Genomic DNA, 17,061 nt, shown 5'->3' with positions numbered 1-17,061 from the left:
GTTTTGCTTTTAAGAGATAGGGGCTGGGTGAGGCAGCTCACACCTATAATTCCAGCACATTGGGAGGCAGAGGTAGGAGGATCTATTTGAGGCCAGGAGTTCGAGACCAGCCTAGGCAGCAAAGTGAGATCAAATCTTTACAAAAAAAAAAAAAAAAAAAAAAAAATAGAAAAACTGGCTGGGTGCTGTGGCTCACATCTGTAATCCCAGCACTTTGGGAGGTCGAGGCGGGGGGATCACCTGAGATGAGGAGTTCAAGACCAGCCTGGCCAACATGGTGAAACCCCATCTGTACTAAATTCAAAAAATCAGCCAGGAGTGGTGGCATGCGCCTGTAACCCCAGCTACTTGGGAGGCCGAGGCAGGAGAATTGCTTGAACTCAGGAGGCGGAGGTTGCAGTGAGCCAAGATTGCACCATTGCACTCCAGCCTGGGCAACAAGAACAAAACTCTGTCAAAAAAAAAAAAGAAAGAGAGAGAGAGAGAAGAAAGGAAGGAAGGAAGGAAGAATAAAAAGAAAGAAGAGAGAGAGAGAAAGAAAGAAAGAAGGAAAGAAGAGAGAAAGAAGAGAGAAAGAAGGGAAAGAAAGAAAGAGAGAAATAAAGAAAAAGAAAGGAAGGAAGGAAGAAAAAGAAAGAAAAGAAAGAAAGAAAGAAAGAAAAAGGAAGGAGGAAAGAAAGAAAGAAAAAGGAAGGAAGGAAGGAAGGAAGGAAGGAAGGAAGGAAAGAAAGAGTTGGGCATGGTGGTGCTCCCCTGCAGTTGCAGCTACCTGGAAGGCTCAGGCAAGAGGATCACTTGTGCTCTGGAGGTCAAGGCTGCAGTGAGCTGTGATTCTGCCACTGGGCAAACCGAGTGAGACCCTGTCTCAAAAAAAAAAAAAAGGGGATCTTGCTCTGTTGCCCAGGCTGGAGTGTAGTGACATGAGATTGCCCTGCCTCAGCCTCCTGAGTAGCTGGGACTACAAACATGTGCCACCACACACAGCTAAATTTTTCTGTAGAGGTGGGGTCTTCTTGTGTTGTCCAGGTTGGTCTCCAACTCCTGGCCTCAAGCACTTCTTCAGCCTAGTGCTGGGATTACAGGTGTAAGCCACCACAGTTAGCCCCAGCATTGCTTTTGGGGGACACTGTTCAATCCCCTACACCGTGGACATTTTGAATTTCTTCTGGATCTTACCAAAAATGGTTCTCATGTTTCACTATTAAGGAAGACATTTCTGTAAGATCCTGGAAATTGCCACTTCTCAAATTAAGGAAGCTTTATCCTGTTCTGTGTTTACTAAGCATTTATTTTTTGTGCTTATCTTCATTTTAAATGCAGAATGAATGTTGAATAGACATATCTCATAATTGTAATGTGGAGAGGACAAAAACAAGTTCCGGAAGGATATAGACCATGTGATGACATTTTAATAAAGCTCCCAGATGTGCAAAACAGCCCAATATATTCACCATTGAAAGATTTGTAATTAAAGCATTTTAAGATAGGATAAACACCAAGTTTGGGAGAGCAGTGGCCTTGGGGAGGGGAATAAGAGGAGGGTGGGGTACAAGAGACCTCCACTCTATTTGCTATGATTTGTTATGTGACGATGTTATGTTATTTGTTATGTGATGTTATTTGTTATGTTATCATGTTTGTTATACGATGTTATTTGCTACATTTTGTTATTTGTTACGTGATGATTTTTAAGAATATCTGAAATATGTGAAGATATCAAAACTTGATAAAGCTGAGTGGAAGGCATAAGCGTTTTCATTTTTTTTCCTGCATACCTCTTTGCATACTTTATAATAAAAAATAAAAGCAAAGCCAAAATTCAGAGCGACAACCAGTACACCATATGCCCTTTGCAGTGGGCTGGCTTCCCTGGTTACAGCAACCCTCTCATCTCTGCAGAGAATGGAAACCAGAGTGGTCATGGCCTTGGGGCTGAATCCTGTGATTTTCACCTTCTTCCCACATTCGCCCAAACCTCTTGTCCCTGCTCTTCAGGTCCTTGTATGATGTGACCCCAGCTGACACCCTAGCCCCAGATGACTGCCCCTGAATTACTCTCAGCTTCTCCAACAAGTCCTGTTCCCTTACTCTCCCAATCTTTGCATGTGCTGATAACCATGTTGGGGCCATTCTTTAATGTATCCATCTCCTCTGGAATAATTCTGACTCCTTCCCCAGGCATCACCTCCTCCAGGAAGCCCTCCCGGCTCAGCCAGTGTCTCCAGTGGTCCTCACAGTCTCCTATACTTCCCAGACTCATCATATTGCCTTCAAATTGCCTGGTTACATGTTCCCTGCCCCCCTCCCCGAGAAACAGGCCTCCCTTCCCTGTCCTAGGCCAGGGGTAGAGAGTGGAGGTCTGCTGCCTCCTTCTAGGACCTCTCTTCCCCTCTCAGTTATCCCACAGCGAGGTCTGGGCACGGGACATGGATGGGCAGCCTTCTGGCTTCCTCGCTAAACTGGACAGCTCCGCCCTGGCTCGCCAAGGCAGCTTCAGCCACAGGTGTATCCAGCTGAGCCCCACTTTCCTGCCCCCTTGCCTTTGTCTTGGCTGTGCCCTGTGCCTGGTGTGTCCTTCCTTTCTCTGTCCACAATACACATGTCGTCAAAGCCACACGTCTCATGCTATCTCTTCCAGAAAACCTCCGATTTCCCAAATGAACTAATTCTATCTCCTCCATAAGGGCTGATGAAACACTTCCATGTAAATCCTTTCCCCAGAACACATTACGATGGTTGCTTTGGACAGAGATTGTGCAATTCTTGTGGGGTTTCATTTCCACTCCCTGAACCAGGAAGCCATCTACTCTCTGCTCAGTGACAGCCAATTGCTACTGCATTTATGGAAACTTTCATGAGGACTTAATTCTACACATCCCCCTCTCCCACCCCACCCCAAAATATTACTCCGGAAGAGTCAGTTGCCCATTGCTGGGTGTCTGACCCTATTCCCTGCCTCAACAAAACCAGGAGATGCTGGTATGAAGCCTGACACCCTGGTCTGAGTTTTGTGTACAAGGCTTGTCTTTTTAGATGTGTGGTTTTTTCTTCACCTTCCTTTCCCTTCCATCTTTCTTTTACAAAATCCTCTTGTTTTTTTTATTTCATTTTATTGTGAATGTCTCTCATTCCTGGAAGAAGAAAGGGGGAAATAGACAATAAGTACAATTTATTTATTTATTTATTGTTGAGACAGGGTCTCACTCTGTCACAGGCTGGAGTGCAGCGGGCACAATTACAGCTCACTGCAGCCTCAAACTCCTGGGCTGAAGCAATCCTCCAGCCTCAGCCTCCTGAGTAGCTGGGACTACCGATACACATCACCATGCCCAGGTAATTTAAAATTTTTTTTTAATTTTGTAAAGATGGGGTCTTGCTACATTGCCCAGGCTGGTCTCGCGATCCCCCTGCCTTGGCTCCCCAAGGTGTTGAAATTGCAGAGCTGAGCCACCGCGCCTCGGCTCAAATAAAATTTTTAAATGAAAAAATGGATAAGGGTTTTTGAGAGGCTCAAGAAGATGAAGTGTGTTTACATATCTACAAGAGGGGCTGGAACATTCTATTAAGTGCTCAACATTTCACCTTGTCAGTGAGGCTGGCCCTGGCCACCCTAGCCACTGCCCACTGCCTAGTGCCCATCCCAGTCCTGCCAAGTACTTATCCTACTGGATTTTTTCTTCCCTTAATGTTTTTTCATAGCATTTATGACTTTTGAATAGAGTATACTACGGTTCCCACCTTTTGCACTATGGACATTAGGAGTCAGATCATTCTTTGCTATGGGGGATGTCTTAGGCATTGTAGGGCTTTGCGCAGCATCCCTGGCCTCTACCCACTAGATGCCTGGAGCACACACACACACACACACACACACACACACACATTCTGTGACAACCAAAAGTGTCTCCAGACATAGCCAAATGTCCCCTGGTGGGCGTAATTGCCCCCAGCTGGGAACTACTATGCTATACAACTTATGTTTTCAATTATGTTTATTACGTTGAGTATGGAGTCTGTCTCCCCACACTTCTAGAATATTAGCTCCAAGAAGAGAGGAATTTGCTTATTTTACTCTCTGATGTGGCCCCAGTTCCAAGATCAATGCCTGGCATATGGCAGGTGCTCAATGTTTGTTGAAAGAATGCATGAACACTGAGTGTTTTTGATATGCCTGAAATGGTGCTAGGTAGACATGTATAACCTCATTGTCTTTATTTTTTTATTTTTTCAATTTTTGTTTTCATATATATATATATATATATATTTTTTTTTTTTTTTCAGAAATGAGGGTCTTGTTATATTGCCCAGGCTGGTCTGGTCTGGAACTCCTGGGCTCAGTGATCCTTCCATGTCGGCCTCCCAAAGTGCTGGGATTACAGGTGTGAGCCAGCAAGACTGTCTTGTTTCTTTATCATAGCATCTTTGTGAGAGAGGCCCATCGCTATCTCCTTTACAGTGGGGAAAACTAAGGCTTCTAGAAGCTACCTAGAACCCATACAGTGGTAGAGTCCTGCAGCTCCGCCGGCTACCTCCCTAACAAAACTGTTTGTTCCCTTCTGGTACAGAGGGACTGGATCAAGGTCAGGTTCAAACCCAGCCTCTGCAGGCACCTGCAGGGGAGTTGAGAAGGGACCTGAACTGGCCTGGGGGGCTATGCCTGAGGGGGCTTTCTCAGGAGCCAGCAGGGGTTACAATTTGGTCGGGTTCAGTGTGTCCCTCGCGGGATAAAACCCAGCCCCAGGCCCATAAGAGATGGTGACTAAGCTCCAAAGAGAAGCCTCCAGCCCCAGGCCCATAAGAGATGGTGACTAAGCTCCAAAGAGAAGCCTCCAGCACCAGCCTGGGGATGGAGCTGCAGTGGCCAGAACCAGGAGGCTGGAACCGCCCGGCCTCACTCCAGCCCAGCCCAGCCCAGCCTTGAAAGGGCCCAATCCTGTGATTGGTCCATGGGTTCCCGTTGCCAGGAATTAAGGCCAAGAAAATGGGAAGGAAGGAAGGGAGTGCGTAGGTCCAGTGAGAACAGGCGTGAAATTTATATCTCTGCCCAGGACTGGGTGCCTGCATCGCCATGGACACCACCAGGTACAGCAAGTGGGGCGGCAGCTCCGAGGAGGTCCCCGGAGGTATGAGCAAGGAGACTGCCCCATCCCTGCCCCAGTGTCTGGGGTTTGATGGGGGAGGGGAGGGAAGAGTCGAGACAGGCCAGGGTTGTGGGTGCAGGAGAGACACCACAGGCCATAGAGCCAGTTGGACCAGGGTCCAATTCCAACTCTGCCGCTTAGAAGCTGTGTGACCATAGGCAAGTTACTTAACTTCTCTGAATCTCAGTTTCCTGGGAGTAACTCAGGCCTCCAGGGCTCAGTTCTGGGGGACCCAGCATGCCGTCCTTGTTATGCCAGGGCCCTGGGGACGCTGGGTGCACTGGAGCAGGAGACCCCTCTTCTTGGCCCTGGCTGTCCTGGTCACCACAGTCCTTTGGGCTGTGATTCTGAGTATCCTATTGTCCAAGGGTGAGTGACTCTCAATGGGGAGGTGTTGCATCCGGCCCCCCTGGGGACAGAAAACCCCCACTGCATGGCGCACCAGCTGCATCCTGGGGTCCTGTTCGCGTCTGAGTGTGAGCAGAGTGTGTGTACATCTTTGGGCCGTGTGCACTCACGCGTGTGCACATGGCGTGCTCGTATGTGCGCGAGTCCCCGCGCGTTTGTCTCCCATCGGCGTGTGTGCACATCGTGTGAGCTGTATGCCTGCCCGCCCGCTCCGTGCTCCCGAGTTGGGGGACGCTGCACCCCCCGGGCGAGGGGAGGATTCCCGAGTTCCCGGCCTCGCCTGCAGGAGCCTCTCTCCTCAGCCTCCACGGAGCGCGCGGCGCTGCTTGACGGCCACGACCTGCTGAGGACAAACGGTGTGTGCAGAGCCGGGCGCCTGGGCCCCCGGGGCGTGAGGGGCGGGAGTTTCTGAGACCCCGGAGATGGAGTCTCGAGTGCGTGGGGGCCCTATGGTCCCTGAGGCTGGAAGGGGGTCCCCTGAGTCCTCCCAAGTGACCCGAGGGGCATGCATTTTGGGGCGGGGGTCGTTCCAGCCTCGAAGCAGACGGCGGCGCTGGGTGCCCTGAAGGAGGAGGTCGGAGACTGCCACAGCTGCTGTGAGGGGGCGCGGTCGAGGCTGTGGGCGCAGGGATGGGGTCTTGCGGCCGCGATGGGAGGGGGGCCGGGGCGGAGGCCTGCGGCGGGTGGTGCGGGGCGGGGGCTGGTCTCCGAAGTCCCGCCCCATCCTCGCCGCCCTCGCCCCTCTCACCCTGCGGCTCCCAGGCTCGGGGACGCAGGCGCAGCTGCAGACCACGCGCGCGGAGCTTGGGGAGGCGCAGGCGAAGCTGATGGAGCAGGAGAGCGCCCTGCGGGAACTGCGTGAGCGCGGTGAGGGCCCGACGCGACCCCGGCCCTGAGCCCTGGCCGCGTCCCCCGACCCCGACCCCGTCCTGAGTGCTGACCCCCGACCCCGATCATGCACCCCGTCCTGACCCTGACGCTGCACTCTGACCTTGACTGCCACTCCTAGCGCCGGCCACACCCGGACCCTGCCCAGTTGTAACCGCCCTTGACCCTGTGCCATCCTGGACGCTGGCACCGAGGGTACAATGACCACAGACAGGGGTCCTGACCTTTAGCTAGTCATGACCCTGGTCCTGGCCCTGACCCCAGCCATAATCCCCGCTCCCTTGACCCCGCAGTGACCCAGGGCTTGGCTGAAGCCGGCAGGGGCCGTGAGGACGTCCGCACTGAGCTGTTCCGGGCGCTGGAGGCCGTGAGGCTCCAGAACAGTGAGCGAGACGGGGGGTCGGGGGCGGGCTGTGAGGGCGTAAGCGGACCCTGTCACTCCTGGACCTTGGCCTGGTTCTGTGTCTCCACCCCTGAGCCCGCGGGGCCGAACCCCTACCCACTGCATCCTCTCGGTGCGTTGCCCCTGGAAGCACGCGACCTCTCTGACCCTCGCCACCCCGCAGACTCCTGCGAGCCGTGCCCCACGTCGTGGCTGTCCTTCGAGGGCTCCTGCTACTTTTTCTCTGTGCCAAAGACGACGTGGGCGGCGGCGCAGGATCACTGCGCAGATGCCAGCGCGCACCTGGTGATCGTTGGGGGCCTGGATGAGCAGGTGCGCAGGGGGAGGGGGCGTGGTCAGGCGGTGGGGCAGGGCGGGGCGGACTCTGCAGGCTCAGATGTCCCCTCCTTTCTAGGGCTTCCTCACTCGGAACACGCGTGGCCGTGGTTACTGGCTGGGCCTGAGGGCTGTGCGCCATCTGGGCAAGGTTCAGGGCTACCAGTGGGTGGACGGAGTCTCTCTCAGCTTCAGGTGAGGGAAAGGCTCCTGGTGAGACCTGGGGAGGGAGACAGGTTAGGCTCTAGAGGACATGCTTTGGCTAGATCTCAGGGACCCCTCGGCTGGGGCTCCATACTTAGGGATGGGCAGGCTGGACCCCAGGAACTGTCCTCAGGTTAAATTCTGGGCGTTAAAAAGTTATATACCAGGTGTATACTCAGGTTAGACAGTTGGGGTGTCTAGAGTAGACCCAAGCAATAAACAGGCTAGAGCCTGAAGAGGAAGGCGGGACCCCGAGTTCATCCTCTGTCTAGATTCCCAGCAACACCCCCACTCAACCCCCCTGTAGCCACTGGAACCAGGGAGAGCCCAATGACGCTTGGGGGCGCGAGAACTGTGTCATGATGCTGCACACGGGGCTGTGGAACGACGCACCGTGTGACAGCGAGAAGGACGGCTGGATCTGTGAGAAAAGGCACAACTGCTGACCCCGCCCAGTGCCCTGGAGCCGCGCCCATTGCAGCATGTCGTATCCTGGGGGCTGCTCACCTCCCTGGCTCCTGGAGCTGATTGCCAAAGAGTTTTTTCTTCCTCATCCACCGCTGCTGAGTCTCAGAAACACTTGGCCCAACATAGCCCTGTCCAGCCCAGTGCCTGGGCTCTGGGACCTCCATGCCGACCTCATCCTAACTCCACTCACGCAGACCCAACCTAACCTCCACTAGCTCCAAAATCCCTGCTCCTGCGTCCCCGTGATATGCCTCCACTTCTCTCCCTAACCAAGGTTAGGTGACTGAGGACTGGAGCTGTTTGGTTTTCTCGCATTTTCCACCAAACTGGAAGCTGTTTTTGCAGCCTGAGGAAGCATCAATAAATATTTGAGAAATGAATCCAGGATCCTGGCTCTGGCGAGATCTTCTGTGCTTTATTCCGGATGTCCTAGTTTAATCCGTACGAGTGACCCCTGGACTCTCTCAGTGACCTCTTGGCCTTTGGTGGGTAACTTGCCCTGGGCCAGGAGGGCTTGAAGGTAGGGGCAGTTTCCCACTCTACACCATTACTTCCTCAGTCCCTGGCATGGGGCTTGGCTCAGAGGGTGCTGGGGACACAGAAATGGGTCAGACGCAGTCCTTTCCCCTGGGACCGCTGCATTCTGGTCTAGCGGGGTACAGGAACAAAATGACCAGTAATGTAATGGATGAGTGTGTGGAGAGGACACCTGAAGCATTTGGAAGGGTCACCTTTGTCTTTGGGGAGAGGGACCATCCTGAGATACTGCAGTCCTTGAGAAGACTGTCACGTCTTCGTGGAGATTATGGGCATCCTGAGACAGGCCCTTGAGGCAGGTGGGGGACAGGGTACCCTGATGGAACGAGCAGGTCCCTTCTGCTCAGTGCATCTAGGGTCTGTGACTATTGGATGGGTCAGTCAGGAAATACATTCCAGAGAAGGTGGATTTTCCAAGGGACAATGGAATTTTGAGTAGATGAAGCTGGGAAGGTAGGACTTTGGAAGCAGAAGGTCCAGGAAGAAAAAGGCTTGGAGAGTGGGTGTGGTGGTGCAAGCTCGTAGTCCCAGTTACTCGGGAGGCTGAGGTGGGAGAATTGCTTAAGCCTAGGAGTTTGAGACGGCAGTGAGCTATGATCTTGCCTGTTGATATAGTCACTGTTCTCCATTCTGGGCAATGCAGTGACACCATATCTCAAAAAAAAGGAATACTAGGAGGTTGGAAGGTATACAGATTGCTGAATTCACACAGCAGTATATGTTACATAGAACCTGGGTTTCTCAACCAGGGACTTTTGATCTGAATTCACCCTACACTCCCAGTTTCTTGCTTCCATCTCGGAGAGTTAGGGGCTCTCCAAGAATTTCCCATGGAGACAGGTTCAACAGGGGAGTGACAGGTTGGCAGCTTTTAGTTCTGTGCAGAACGGAGTCTAGAACTACAGGCTGCTGGGAGCCCCCAGGCTGCTGGACCGTATAACAGCATCAGCTGAGCAGGAAATAGAAGGAACACCATCACATTCCCTGGCCAGGTGGAACTCTTCCACTGCTGTAACCTGTCAACCCCCCTATCCTCTGATCTTTCTAAACTTGCAGTCTGGAGCAGGCACTGGGCAAGTCCAGGAGCCTATTGACTTGCCTACTGGACTGAGGGCCAGGCTGCTGGACTTCCAGACACAGTTGGCTTGGAGGAGTGTTTGAGTTTCCCACCACTACTGTAATGGATTTTGCTGGGCAAAAACCAAGGTCTAAGGATGTATTAATCCGTTCTCATGCTGCTAATAAAGACATACCTGATACTGGGTAAGTTATAAAGGGAAGAGGTTTAATGGACTCGCAGTTCCACATGGCTGGGGAGGCCTCACAATCATGGCAGAAAGGAAAGGAAGAGCAAAGGCATGTCTTACATGGTGGCAGGCAAGATAACTTGCGCAGGGGAACTCTCATTTATAAAACCATCAGATCTTGAGGCTGGGCATGGTGGCTCACGCTTGTAATCCCAGCACTTTGGGAGGCCAAGGCGGATGGATCACGAGGTCAGGAGTTCGGGACCAGCCTGGCCAAGAGACCAGCCTGGCCAATATGGTGAAACCCCATCTCTACTAAAAATACAAAAATTAGCTGGTCGTGGTGGCAGGCGCCTGTAATCCCAGCTACTCGGGAGGCTGAGGCAGGAGAACTGCTTGAGCCCAGGAGGCAGAGGTTGCAGTGAGCCGAAGGTCATGCCATTGCACTCTAGCCTGGGTGACAGAGCAAGAGTTCATCTCAAAAAAAAAAATTAAAAAATTAAAAAATAAAACCATCAGATCTTGAGAGACTCATACACCACCACAAGAACAGTATGGGGAAAACTGCCCCCGTGATTCAATTATCTCCACCTGGCCCCACCCTTGATCCACAGGGATTATTACAATTCAAGGTGAGATTTGGGGAGGCGGACACAGCCAAACCATATCAAAGGGAAAATGTTTCTTTACCTCTTCTTTAGCTTTTCTAGAGCTGTTGTCCTCATCCTTCTTGACTCCTGGACCCTTCTTCCATCTTCAAAGGCAGTAGGGTAGCATCTAGCTTCAGCCATGACAATTACTTCTTCTGTATCAAATCTCTCTAGGAATGCCCCCACAATCACCTTTTTTTGAGACAGGGTCTTGCTCTGTCACCCAGGCTGGAGTGTAATAGCACGATCATAGTTCACTGCAGCCTCAACCTCCTGGGCTCAAGAAATCCTCCTGCCTCAGCCTCCCAAGTAGCTGGGACTACAGGCATGCACCACCACACCCAGCTATTTGTTAGTTTTTTTGTAGAGATGGGGTGTCACTATGCTGCCCAGGCTGGTCTTGCCTCCTTCTTATATGAACAGTTGGGATTGCATTTAGGGCCTGACCTGATAGTACAGGATGATCTCCTGTGGTTCCTTTTTTTTTTTTTTTTTTTAATTTTCTTTTTGAGGCAGGATCTCGCTTTGTCACCTGGGCTGGAGTGCGGTAGCATGAACATGGCTCACGGCAGCCTTGACTTCCCAGGTTCAAGTTCAAGCAATCCTCCAGGCTCAAACAATCCTCCTGCCTCAACCTCCTGAGTAGCTGGGACTACAGGCGTGTGCCACCATGCCTGGCTAATTTTTTTTATTTTTTTGTAGAGAAGCGGTCTCATTATGCTGCCCAGGCTGGTCTCAAACTCCTGAGCTCAAGTGATTCGCCTACCTTGGCCTCCCAAAGCACTGGGATTACAGGCATGAGCCACTGCTCCTGGCCTCCTGTAATTCTAAATGCAGTTCTGCCACTATTCACCCAGATAGTGCAGACTCCACCCAGAGGTTAAGGACACAGTCCCCATCAAGACTGCTCTCATTTCAGATACCAGCTACAAGTTTGGGGATCCCCAGCCACCCACATTTCTGATCAACTGCCTACAAATTCTCATGACCCCTTCAGGTTCCATAATTCACTAGAATGACTCCCAGAACTTAGGAAATGCTATGCTTACGATTTCAGTTTGTTTTTTGTTTTGTTTTGTTCTTTGTTTTGTTTTGTTTTTTTGTTTGTTTTTTGAGACAGTGTCTCGCTCTTTCGCCCAGGCTGGAGTGCAGCGGTGCGACCTCAGCTCACTGCAACCTCTGCCTCCCGGGTTCAAGCAATTCTCCTGCCTCAGCCTCCCAAGTAGCTGGGACTACAGGCGCCCGCCACCACCATGCCTGGCTAATTTTTATATTTTTAGTAGAGATGGGGTTTCACCATGTTAGCCAGGATAGTCTCACTCTTTTGATCTGGTGATCCACCCGCCTTGGCCTCCCAAAGTGCTGGGATTACAGGCATGAGCCACTGTGCCTGGCCCTGATTTCAGTTTTCTTAACAAAATACAAATCAGGACCTGCCAAATGAGAAGATACATAGGGTGAGGTCTGGGAAGGTCCCAAACACGGAGCTCCTGTGTCCTTCCCCATAACGTCAGCACACATCACTCTCTCTATGCCTTCCCCACTCTCAGGGTGATGGGTTCACCAGCCAGGAAGCTCCAGAGCTCGGTGTCCTGAGTTTTTTTGGGGTTTCAGTATGTAGGCAGGATTGATCCAATTACTCCTTCAGTGTTTCAGTTTTGTTTGTTTTTTTTTTTTGAGACCCGGTCTTGCCCTGTTGCCCAGGCTGGAGTGCAGTGGCATAATCATAGCTCACTGCAGCCTCAACCTTCTGGGCTCAAGTGATCCTCCCACCTCTCAGCCTCTCGAGTAGCTGGAACTACAGGCACATGTCACCACCCTGTCCAGCTAATGTTTGTATTTTTTGTAGAGACGGGGTTTCACCATATTGTTCAGGTTGGTCTTGAGCTCCTGAGCTCAAGTGATCCTCCTGCCTTGGCCTCCCAAAGTGCTGGGATTACAGGCATGAGCCACCTCACAAGGCCTCGGGAGTTTTTAGTGGGGTCTCATTACACAGGAAAGATTGACTGAATCGTTGGCCTTGTGATTGAACTTTATCTCCAGTCCCCCTTTTGGTCAAGTGGCTGCAAATTCCAACCCTCATGGTTGATGTATCTGGCATGACCAGCACCCATCCTAAGCCACCCCCTCATATAAACCCAAGTGTGGTCCAGGGCCCTGATGAATAACAAAGACTCACAGCACTTGGAAAATTCCAAGGACTTAGACACTTCCTAGCAGGAACCAGGGACAAATTCTTTACCACACGAGCTCCTCCCATCTTGAAATCCATCATCACGTCTGCAAAGTGTCTTTTGCCATATAAAGTGATGTTCACAGGATCCAGGGATGAGGACATGGTATATTGCAGGTCATCACAAATCTGTGTTAGCCAGGGTTGTCCAGGACTGAACTGATAGGATATGCGTGTGTGTGTGTGTGTGTGTGTGTGTGTGTGAGATATAGTTAGGATATTTGTCCCCACCCAAATCTCATGTTGAAATGTATCCCCAGTGCTGGAGGTGGGGGCTGGTGGGAAGTGTTTTGCATCATAGGGGCAGATTCTTCGTGAATGGCTTGGACCATCCCCATGGTGATAAGTGAGCTCTCACTCAAAGTTCACATAAAATCTGGTTGTTCAAAAGTGTGTGATACCTCCCCTGCCACGCTGTCTCTTGCTCCTGCTTTCGCCATGTGAGACACCTGCTTCGCCTTTGTCTTCTGCCATGATTGGAAGCTTCCTGAGGCCCCTCCAGAAGCAGATATCTCTGCTATGCTTCCTGGACAGCCTGTAGAATCATGAGCCAATTAAACCTCTTTTCTTCTAAATTACCCAGTCTCAGGTATCTCTTTATAGCAATGCAAGAATGGCCTAACACAGCTGGGTGTGGTGGCTCACGCCTGTAATCCCAGCACTTTGGGAGGCCGTGGCGGGCAGATCACTTGAGGTCAGGAGTTCGAGACCAGCCTGGCCAATATGTTGAAACCCCATTTCTACTAAAAATACAAAAATTAGCCAGGTGTGGTGGCGGGTGCCTGTAATCCCAGCTACTTGGGAGGCTGAGGCAGGAGAATCACTTGAACCTGGGAGGTGGAGGTTGCACTGAGCTGAGATCACACCATTGCACTCCAGCTTGGGTGACAGAATGAGACACCATCTTGAGGAAAAAAAAAAAAAAAGAACAGCCTAACACAATATTAAAGGGAGTTTATTTGGGAGAATTAGCTCACACAATTATAAGGCGAAGTCCCATAGTAGGCTGTCTGCAAGCCCGGGAAAGACAGAAAGTGGTAGTGTGGCTCAGTCCAAGTCCAAAAGCCTCAAAAATCATGGAAGGAGACAGTGCAACCTTCAGTCTGCAGCCAAAGGCCCGAGAACACCTGGGAGGCCACTGGTGCAAGTGCCAGAGTTCAAAGGCCAAAGAACCTAGAGCCTGATGTCCAAGGGTAGGAGGAGAGGAAACCAAGTGATTGGCACAGCAGGGGAAGAGAGAGGGAGCTGACTCAGCGAGCAAGCCAGCTTCTCCCGCCTTCTTCCACCTGCTTTGTTCTAGCCACGCTGGCGGCCGATGGGATGGTGCCCACTCACATTGAGGATGGGTCTTCCTCTCCCAGCCCACGGACTCAAATATCAACCTCCTCTGATAACATCCTCACAGACACACCCAGAAACAATGCTTCACCAGCCATCCAGGCATCTCCCTCCATCCGGTCAAGTTGACACCAGGTGTTAACCATCATAGCATCACAGCACAGGGCAGAGCCATCTGAGATAGACTCCCAGGTGGGACAGCAGTGAGATACTTACCTAGAGGTCTAACTACTTGATGAGCCAGATTAAGTGATTGTCTGGATGATACAGACAGATTGTAATCAAACATACTGACAATGAGGTGGCGACTCCGGATCGAATGAAGAACAACAGAGACAGAACGACAGACGGACTTCATGGCTGGGTGTGGTGGCTCACACCTGTAATCCCGGCACTTTGGGAGGCTGTGGTGGGTGGATCACCTGAGGTCAGGAGTTTGAGACTAGCCTGGCTAACATGGCAAAACCCCATCTCTATTAAAAATACAAAAAAATTAGCCAGGCATGGTTGTGGGTGCCTGTAATCCCAGCTACTCAGGAGGCTGAGGCAGGAGAATCACTTGATCCCGGAAGGTGGAGGTTGCAGTGAGCTGAGATCACGCCACTGCACTCCAGTCTGGGTAACAGAGTGAAACTCCATCTAAAAAAAAATTTTTTTTTAAAAGAACAACAGATGGACTTCAAGTCTGACCGACAGCCTCAATGGGGAGCCCCTGCCAGGCTGTCGTGACAAATGTACAGCAACAGCACGGGCAGGCACAAGAGGTTTCAGCATCTCCCCTGAGGATGGAGCTGAGAAAGTGCCAGCTGTGGCTGAGGCAGAAGGAAGAGAGGCTGAGTGCAGTGGTGTGCACCTGTCATCCTGAAACCCACCCAACAGTCTCATAGAACAGGGGTCCTCATCCCCCAGGCCGCAGACCGGTACTGATCTGTGCCCTGTTAGGAGCCAGGCCACACAGCAGGAGGTTAGCAGCAGGTGAGCAAGCAAAGCTCATCTGTGTTTACAGCCACTCTCCTTTGCTTGCATGACCACCTGACCTCTGCCTCCTGTCAGATTAGCAGTGGTATTAGACTCTCACAGGAGCATGAAGCCTATTGTGAACTGCACATCGAGGGATCTGGGTCATAGGATAATCGAATGACTGATGATCTCTCACTGTCTCCCATCACCCCCAGATGGGACTGTCTTAGTTGCGGGAAAACAAGCTCAGAGTTCCCACTGATTCTGCATTATGCAGAGTGGCATAATTATTTCATTACATATTAAAATGTAATAATTATAGAAATAAAGTGCACAATAAATGTCACGCAGTTGAATCATCCTGAAACCATCCCCCACCCCAGTCTGTGGAAAAGTTGTCTGCTGGGTGCAGTGGCTCATGCCTGTAATCTCAGCACTTTGGGAGGCTGAGGTGGGCAGATCACCGGAGGTCAGGAGTTTGAGACCAGCCCAGCCAACATGGTGAAACGCCGTCTCTACTAAAAATACAAGAATTAGCTGGGCATGGTGGTGTGCACCTGTAATCCCAGCTATTCGGGAGGCTCAGGTGGGAGAATGGCTTGAATCTGGGAGGCGGCAGTTGCATTGAGCCGAGATCACGACACTGCACTCCAGCCTGGGCAACAGAGCAAGACTCTGTCTCTAAAAAAAAAAGAAAAAGAAAAATTGTCTTCTCCAAAACCGGTCCCTGGTGCCAAAAAGGTTAGGGATTGTTGCCATAGACAGTTCTTTTCAATAAACATAGAAATTGACCCTGTGGTCTTTTTTTTTTTTTTGAGACGGAGTCTCGCTCTGTTGCCCAGGCTGGAATGCAGTGGCGCAATCTCGGCTCACTGCAAGCTCCACCTCCTGGGTTCACGCCATTCTCCTGCCTCAGCCTCCCGAGTAGCTGGGACTATAGGCATGCGCCACCACGCCCAGCTAATTTTTGTATTTTTAGTAGAGACAGGGTTTCACCATGTTGGCCAAGGTGGTCTCAAACTCCTGACCTCCAGTGATCCACCCACCTCGACCTCCCAAAGTGCTGGGATTACAGGTGTGAGCCACCGTGCCCGGCCTGACCCTGTGGTCTTAAAGCTTGAAATTTAGCATTAGTTTTATCTGGCCAGGCGCGGTGGCTCACGCCTGCAATCCCAGCACTTTAGGAGGCTGAGGCGGATGAATCACTTGAGCTCAGGAGTTCGAGACCACTCTGGCCAACTTGGCAAAACCCTGTCTCTACTAAAAATACGAAAAATTAGCCAGGCATGGTGGCGGGCGCCTGTAATCCCAGGTACTCAGGAGGCTGAGGCAGGAGAATCGCTTGAACCAGGGAGGAGGAGGTTGCAGTGAGCCAAGATCGCGCCACTGTGCTCCATCCTGGGCAACAAGAGTGAAACTCTGTCTCAAATAAACAAACCAAAAAAATTTGTTTTATCTGAGTTCCTTCTCAGGAAAGGATCCCCAGGCTCTCAAAAATCATCAGAGTTGAAACTCAGCAGATCATTACATGCAGACGATGAGACACCAGGCTGCTCATTCATCACAATTGCTTCCTGACCCCTCCCGCGTTCCTGTTTTACCACATATTGTTCTATTTCTCCCCTGCTATATAAACCCCTAATTTTAATCAGCCAGAGAGATGGATTTGAGACTGAGCTCCCATCTCCTTGGTTGCAGCATCCAATTAAAGCCTAAAGCCTTCTTGCTTGGCAATAATCCTTGCCTCGGTGATTGGCTATCTGTGCGGTGAACAGCAGGACCTAGACCAAACCCCTGGTATTTCCGTAAACACTCCCAGCACTTTGGGAGGTGGAGGTGGGAAGGTCACTTGAGTCCAGGAGTTTGAGATCAGCCTGGGGCAACATACCAAGACCTCATCTCTACTTAAAAAATAGGCTGGGCGCAGTGGCTCACGCCTGTAATCCCAGCACTTAGGGAGGCCGAAGTGGGCAGATCACCAGAGGTCAGGAGTTCAAGACCAGCCTGGCCAACATGGTGAAACCCTGTCTCTACTAAAAATACAAAACTTAGCCGGGCATGATGGTGGGTGCCTGTAATCTCAGCTACTCGGGAGGCTAAGGCAGGAGAATCGCTTACACCCAGGAGGCAGAGGTTGCAGTGAGCCGAGATTGTGTCACTACACTCCAGCCTGGAAAACAGAGAGGGACTCTGTCTCAACATAACATAAAATAAAATAAAATAAAATAAAAATAAAAGGCTGGGCATGGTGGTGCACACCTGTATTCTC

The 17,061-nt window shown here is 51.2% G+C and overlaps 1 protein-coding gene across 2 annotated transcripts, besides 6 other annotated features; it reads left to right on the top strand.

The window, feature by feature from the left end:
- Positions 4,460–5,066: a promoter, noted in NCBI's record as "-591 promoter fragment used in the pCLEC4G-591Luc construct". NCBI's record gives its function as "drives CLEC4G gene expression in transfected THP-1 monocytic leukemia cells, and at lower levels in K562 erythroleukemia and Jurkat T cells, and can be transactivated by PU.1, RUNX3 and Myb transcription factors in NIH3T3 fibroblasts {active_cell/tissue: THP-1 | K562 | Jurkat | NIH3T3(+RUNX3 or +Myb or +PU.1 and RUNX3)}" and the evidence as "EXISTENCE:reporter gene assay evidence [ECO:0000049][PMID:19111020]".
- Positions 4,732–4,828: a direct repeat, noted in NCBI's record as "region containing two directly repeated 48 bp sequences with potential Ets binding sites". NCBI's record gives the evidence for it as "EXISTENCE:sequence similarity evidence [ECO:0000044][PMID:19111020]".
- Positions 4,754–5,066: a promoter, noted in NCBI's record as "-296 promoter fragment used in the pCLEC4G-296Luc construct". NCBI's record gives its function as "drives CLEC4G gene expression in transfected THP-1 monocytic leukemia cells, and at lower levels in Jurkat T cells, and can be transactivated by PU.1, RUNX3 and Myb transcription factors in NIH3T3 fibroblasts {active_cell/tissue: THP-1 | Jurkat | NIH3T3(+RUNX3 or +Myb or +PU.1 and RUNX3)}" and the evidence as "EXISTENCE:reporter gene assay evidence [ECO:0000049][PMID:19111020]".
- Positions 4,803–5,066: a promoter, noted in NCBI's record as "-247 promoter fragment used in the pCLEC4G-247Luc construct". NCBI's record gives its function as "drives CLEC4G gene expression in transfected THP-1 monocytic leukemia cells, and at lower levels in Jurkat T cells, and can be transactivated by PU.1, RUNX3 and Myb transcription factors in NIH3T3 fibroblasts {active_cell/tissue: THP-1 | Jurkat | NIH3T3(+RUNX3 or +Myb or +PU.1 and RUNX3)}" and the evidence as "EXISTENCE:reporter gene assay evidence [ECO:0000049][PMID:19111020]".
- Positions 4,987–4,996: a transcriptional cis regulatory region, noted in NCBI's record as "bases mutated in the pCLEC4G-296-66MUT or pCLEC4G-296mutLuc constructs". NCBI's record gives its function as "positively regulates activity of the -296 CLEC4G promoter in transfected THP-1 monocytic leukemia cells, and is important for transactivation by PU.1 in cooperation with RUNX3 in NIH3T3 fibroblasts {active_cell/tissue: THP-1 | NIH3T3(+PU.1 and RUNX3)}" and the evidence as "EXISTENCE:site-directed mutagenesis evidence [ECO:0005528][PMID:19111020]".
- On the top strand, positions 5,061–8,214 carry CLEC4G (C-type lectin domain family 4 member G). 2 transcript variants are annotated; one of them, NM_001244856.2, is made up of 9 exons: positions 5,061–5,087; positions 5,400–5,510; positions 5,852–5,905; positions 6,083–6,145; positions 6,312–6,416; positions 6,731–6,820; positions 7,004–7,152; positions 7,235–7,350; positions 7,667–8,214. In NM_001244856.2, the coding sequence occupies exons 1-9, from the start codon at positions 5,069–5,071 to the stop codon at positions 7,803–7,805; spliced, it is 846 nt and encodes a 281-aa protein (NP_001231785.1). In that variant the 5' UTR covers positions 5,061–5,068; the 3' UTR covers positions 7,806–8,214. The 2 variants fall into 2 exon arrangements, with proteins under 2 accessions (NP_001231785.1, NP_940894.1); NM_198492.4 differs by having other exon boundaries at positions 5,061–5,123.
- Positions 15,643–16,142: an enhancer, noted in NCBI's record as "H3K4me1 hESC enhancer chr19:7785915-7786414 (GRCh37/hg19 assembly coordinates)". NCBI's record gives its function as "activates a minimal SCP1, AML or CMV promoter by ChIP-STARR-seq in naive H9 embryonic stem cells {active_cell/tissue: H9 hESC(naive)}" and the evidence as "EXISTENCE:reporter gene assay evidence [ECO:0000049][PMID:30033119]".

The sequence above is a fragment of the Homo sapiens genome, chromosome 19, assembly GCF_000001405.40.
Source record: "Homo sapiens chromosome 19, GRCh38.p14 Primary Assembly".
NCBI classification, from domain to species: domain Eukaryota; kingdom Metazoa; phylum Chordata; class Mammalia; order Primates; family Hominidae; genus Homo; species Homo sapiens.
The sequence above is the reverse complement of the archived record's forward strand: the minus strand, read 5'-3'. Positions and strand labels throughout refer to the sequence as shown.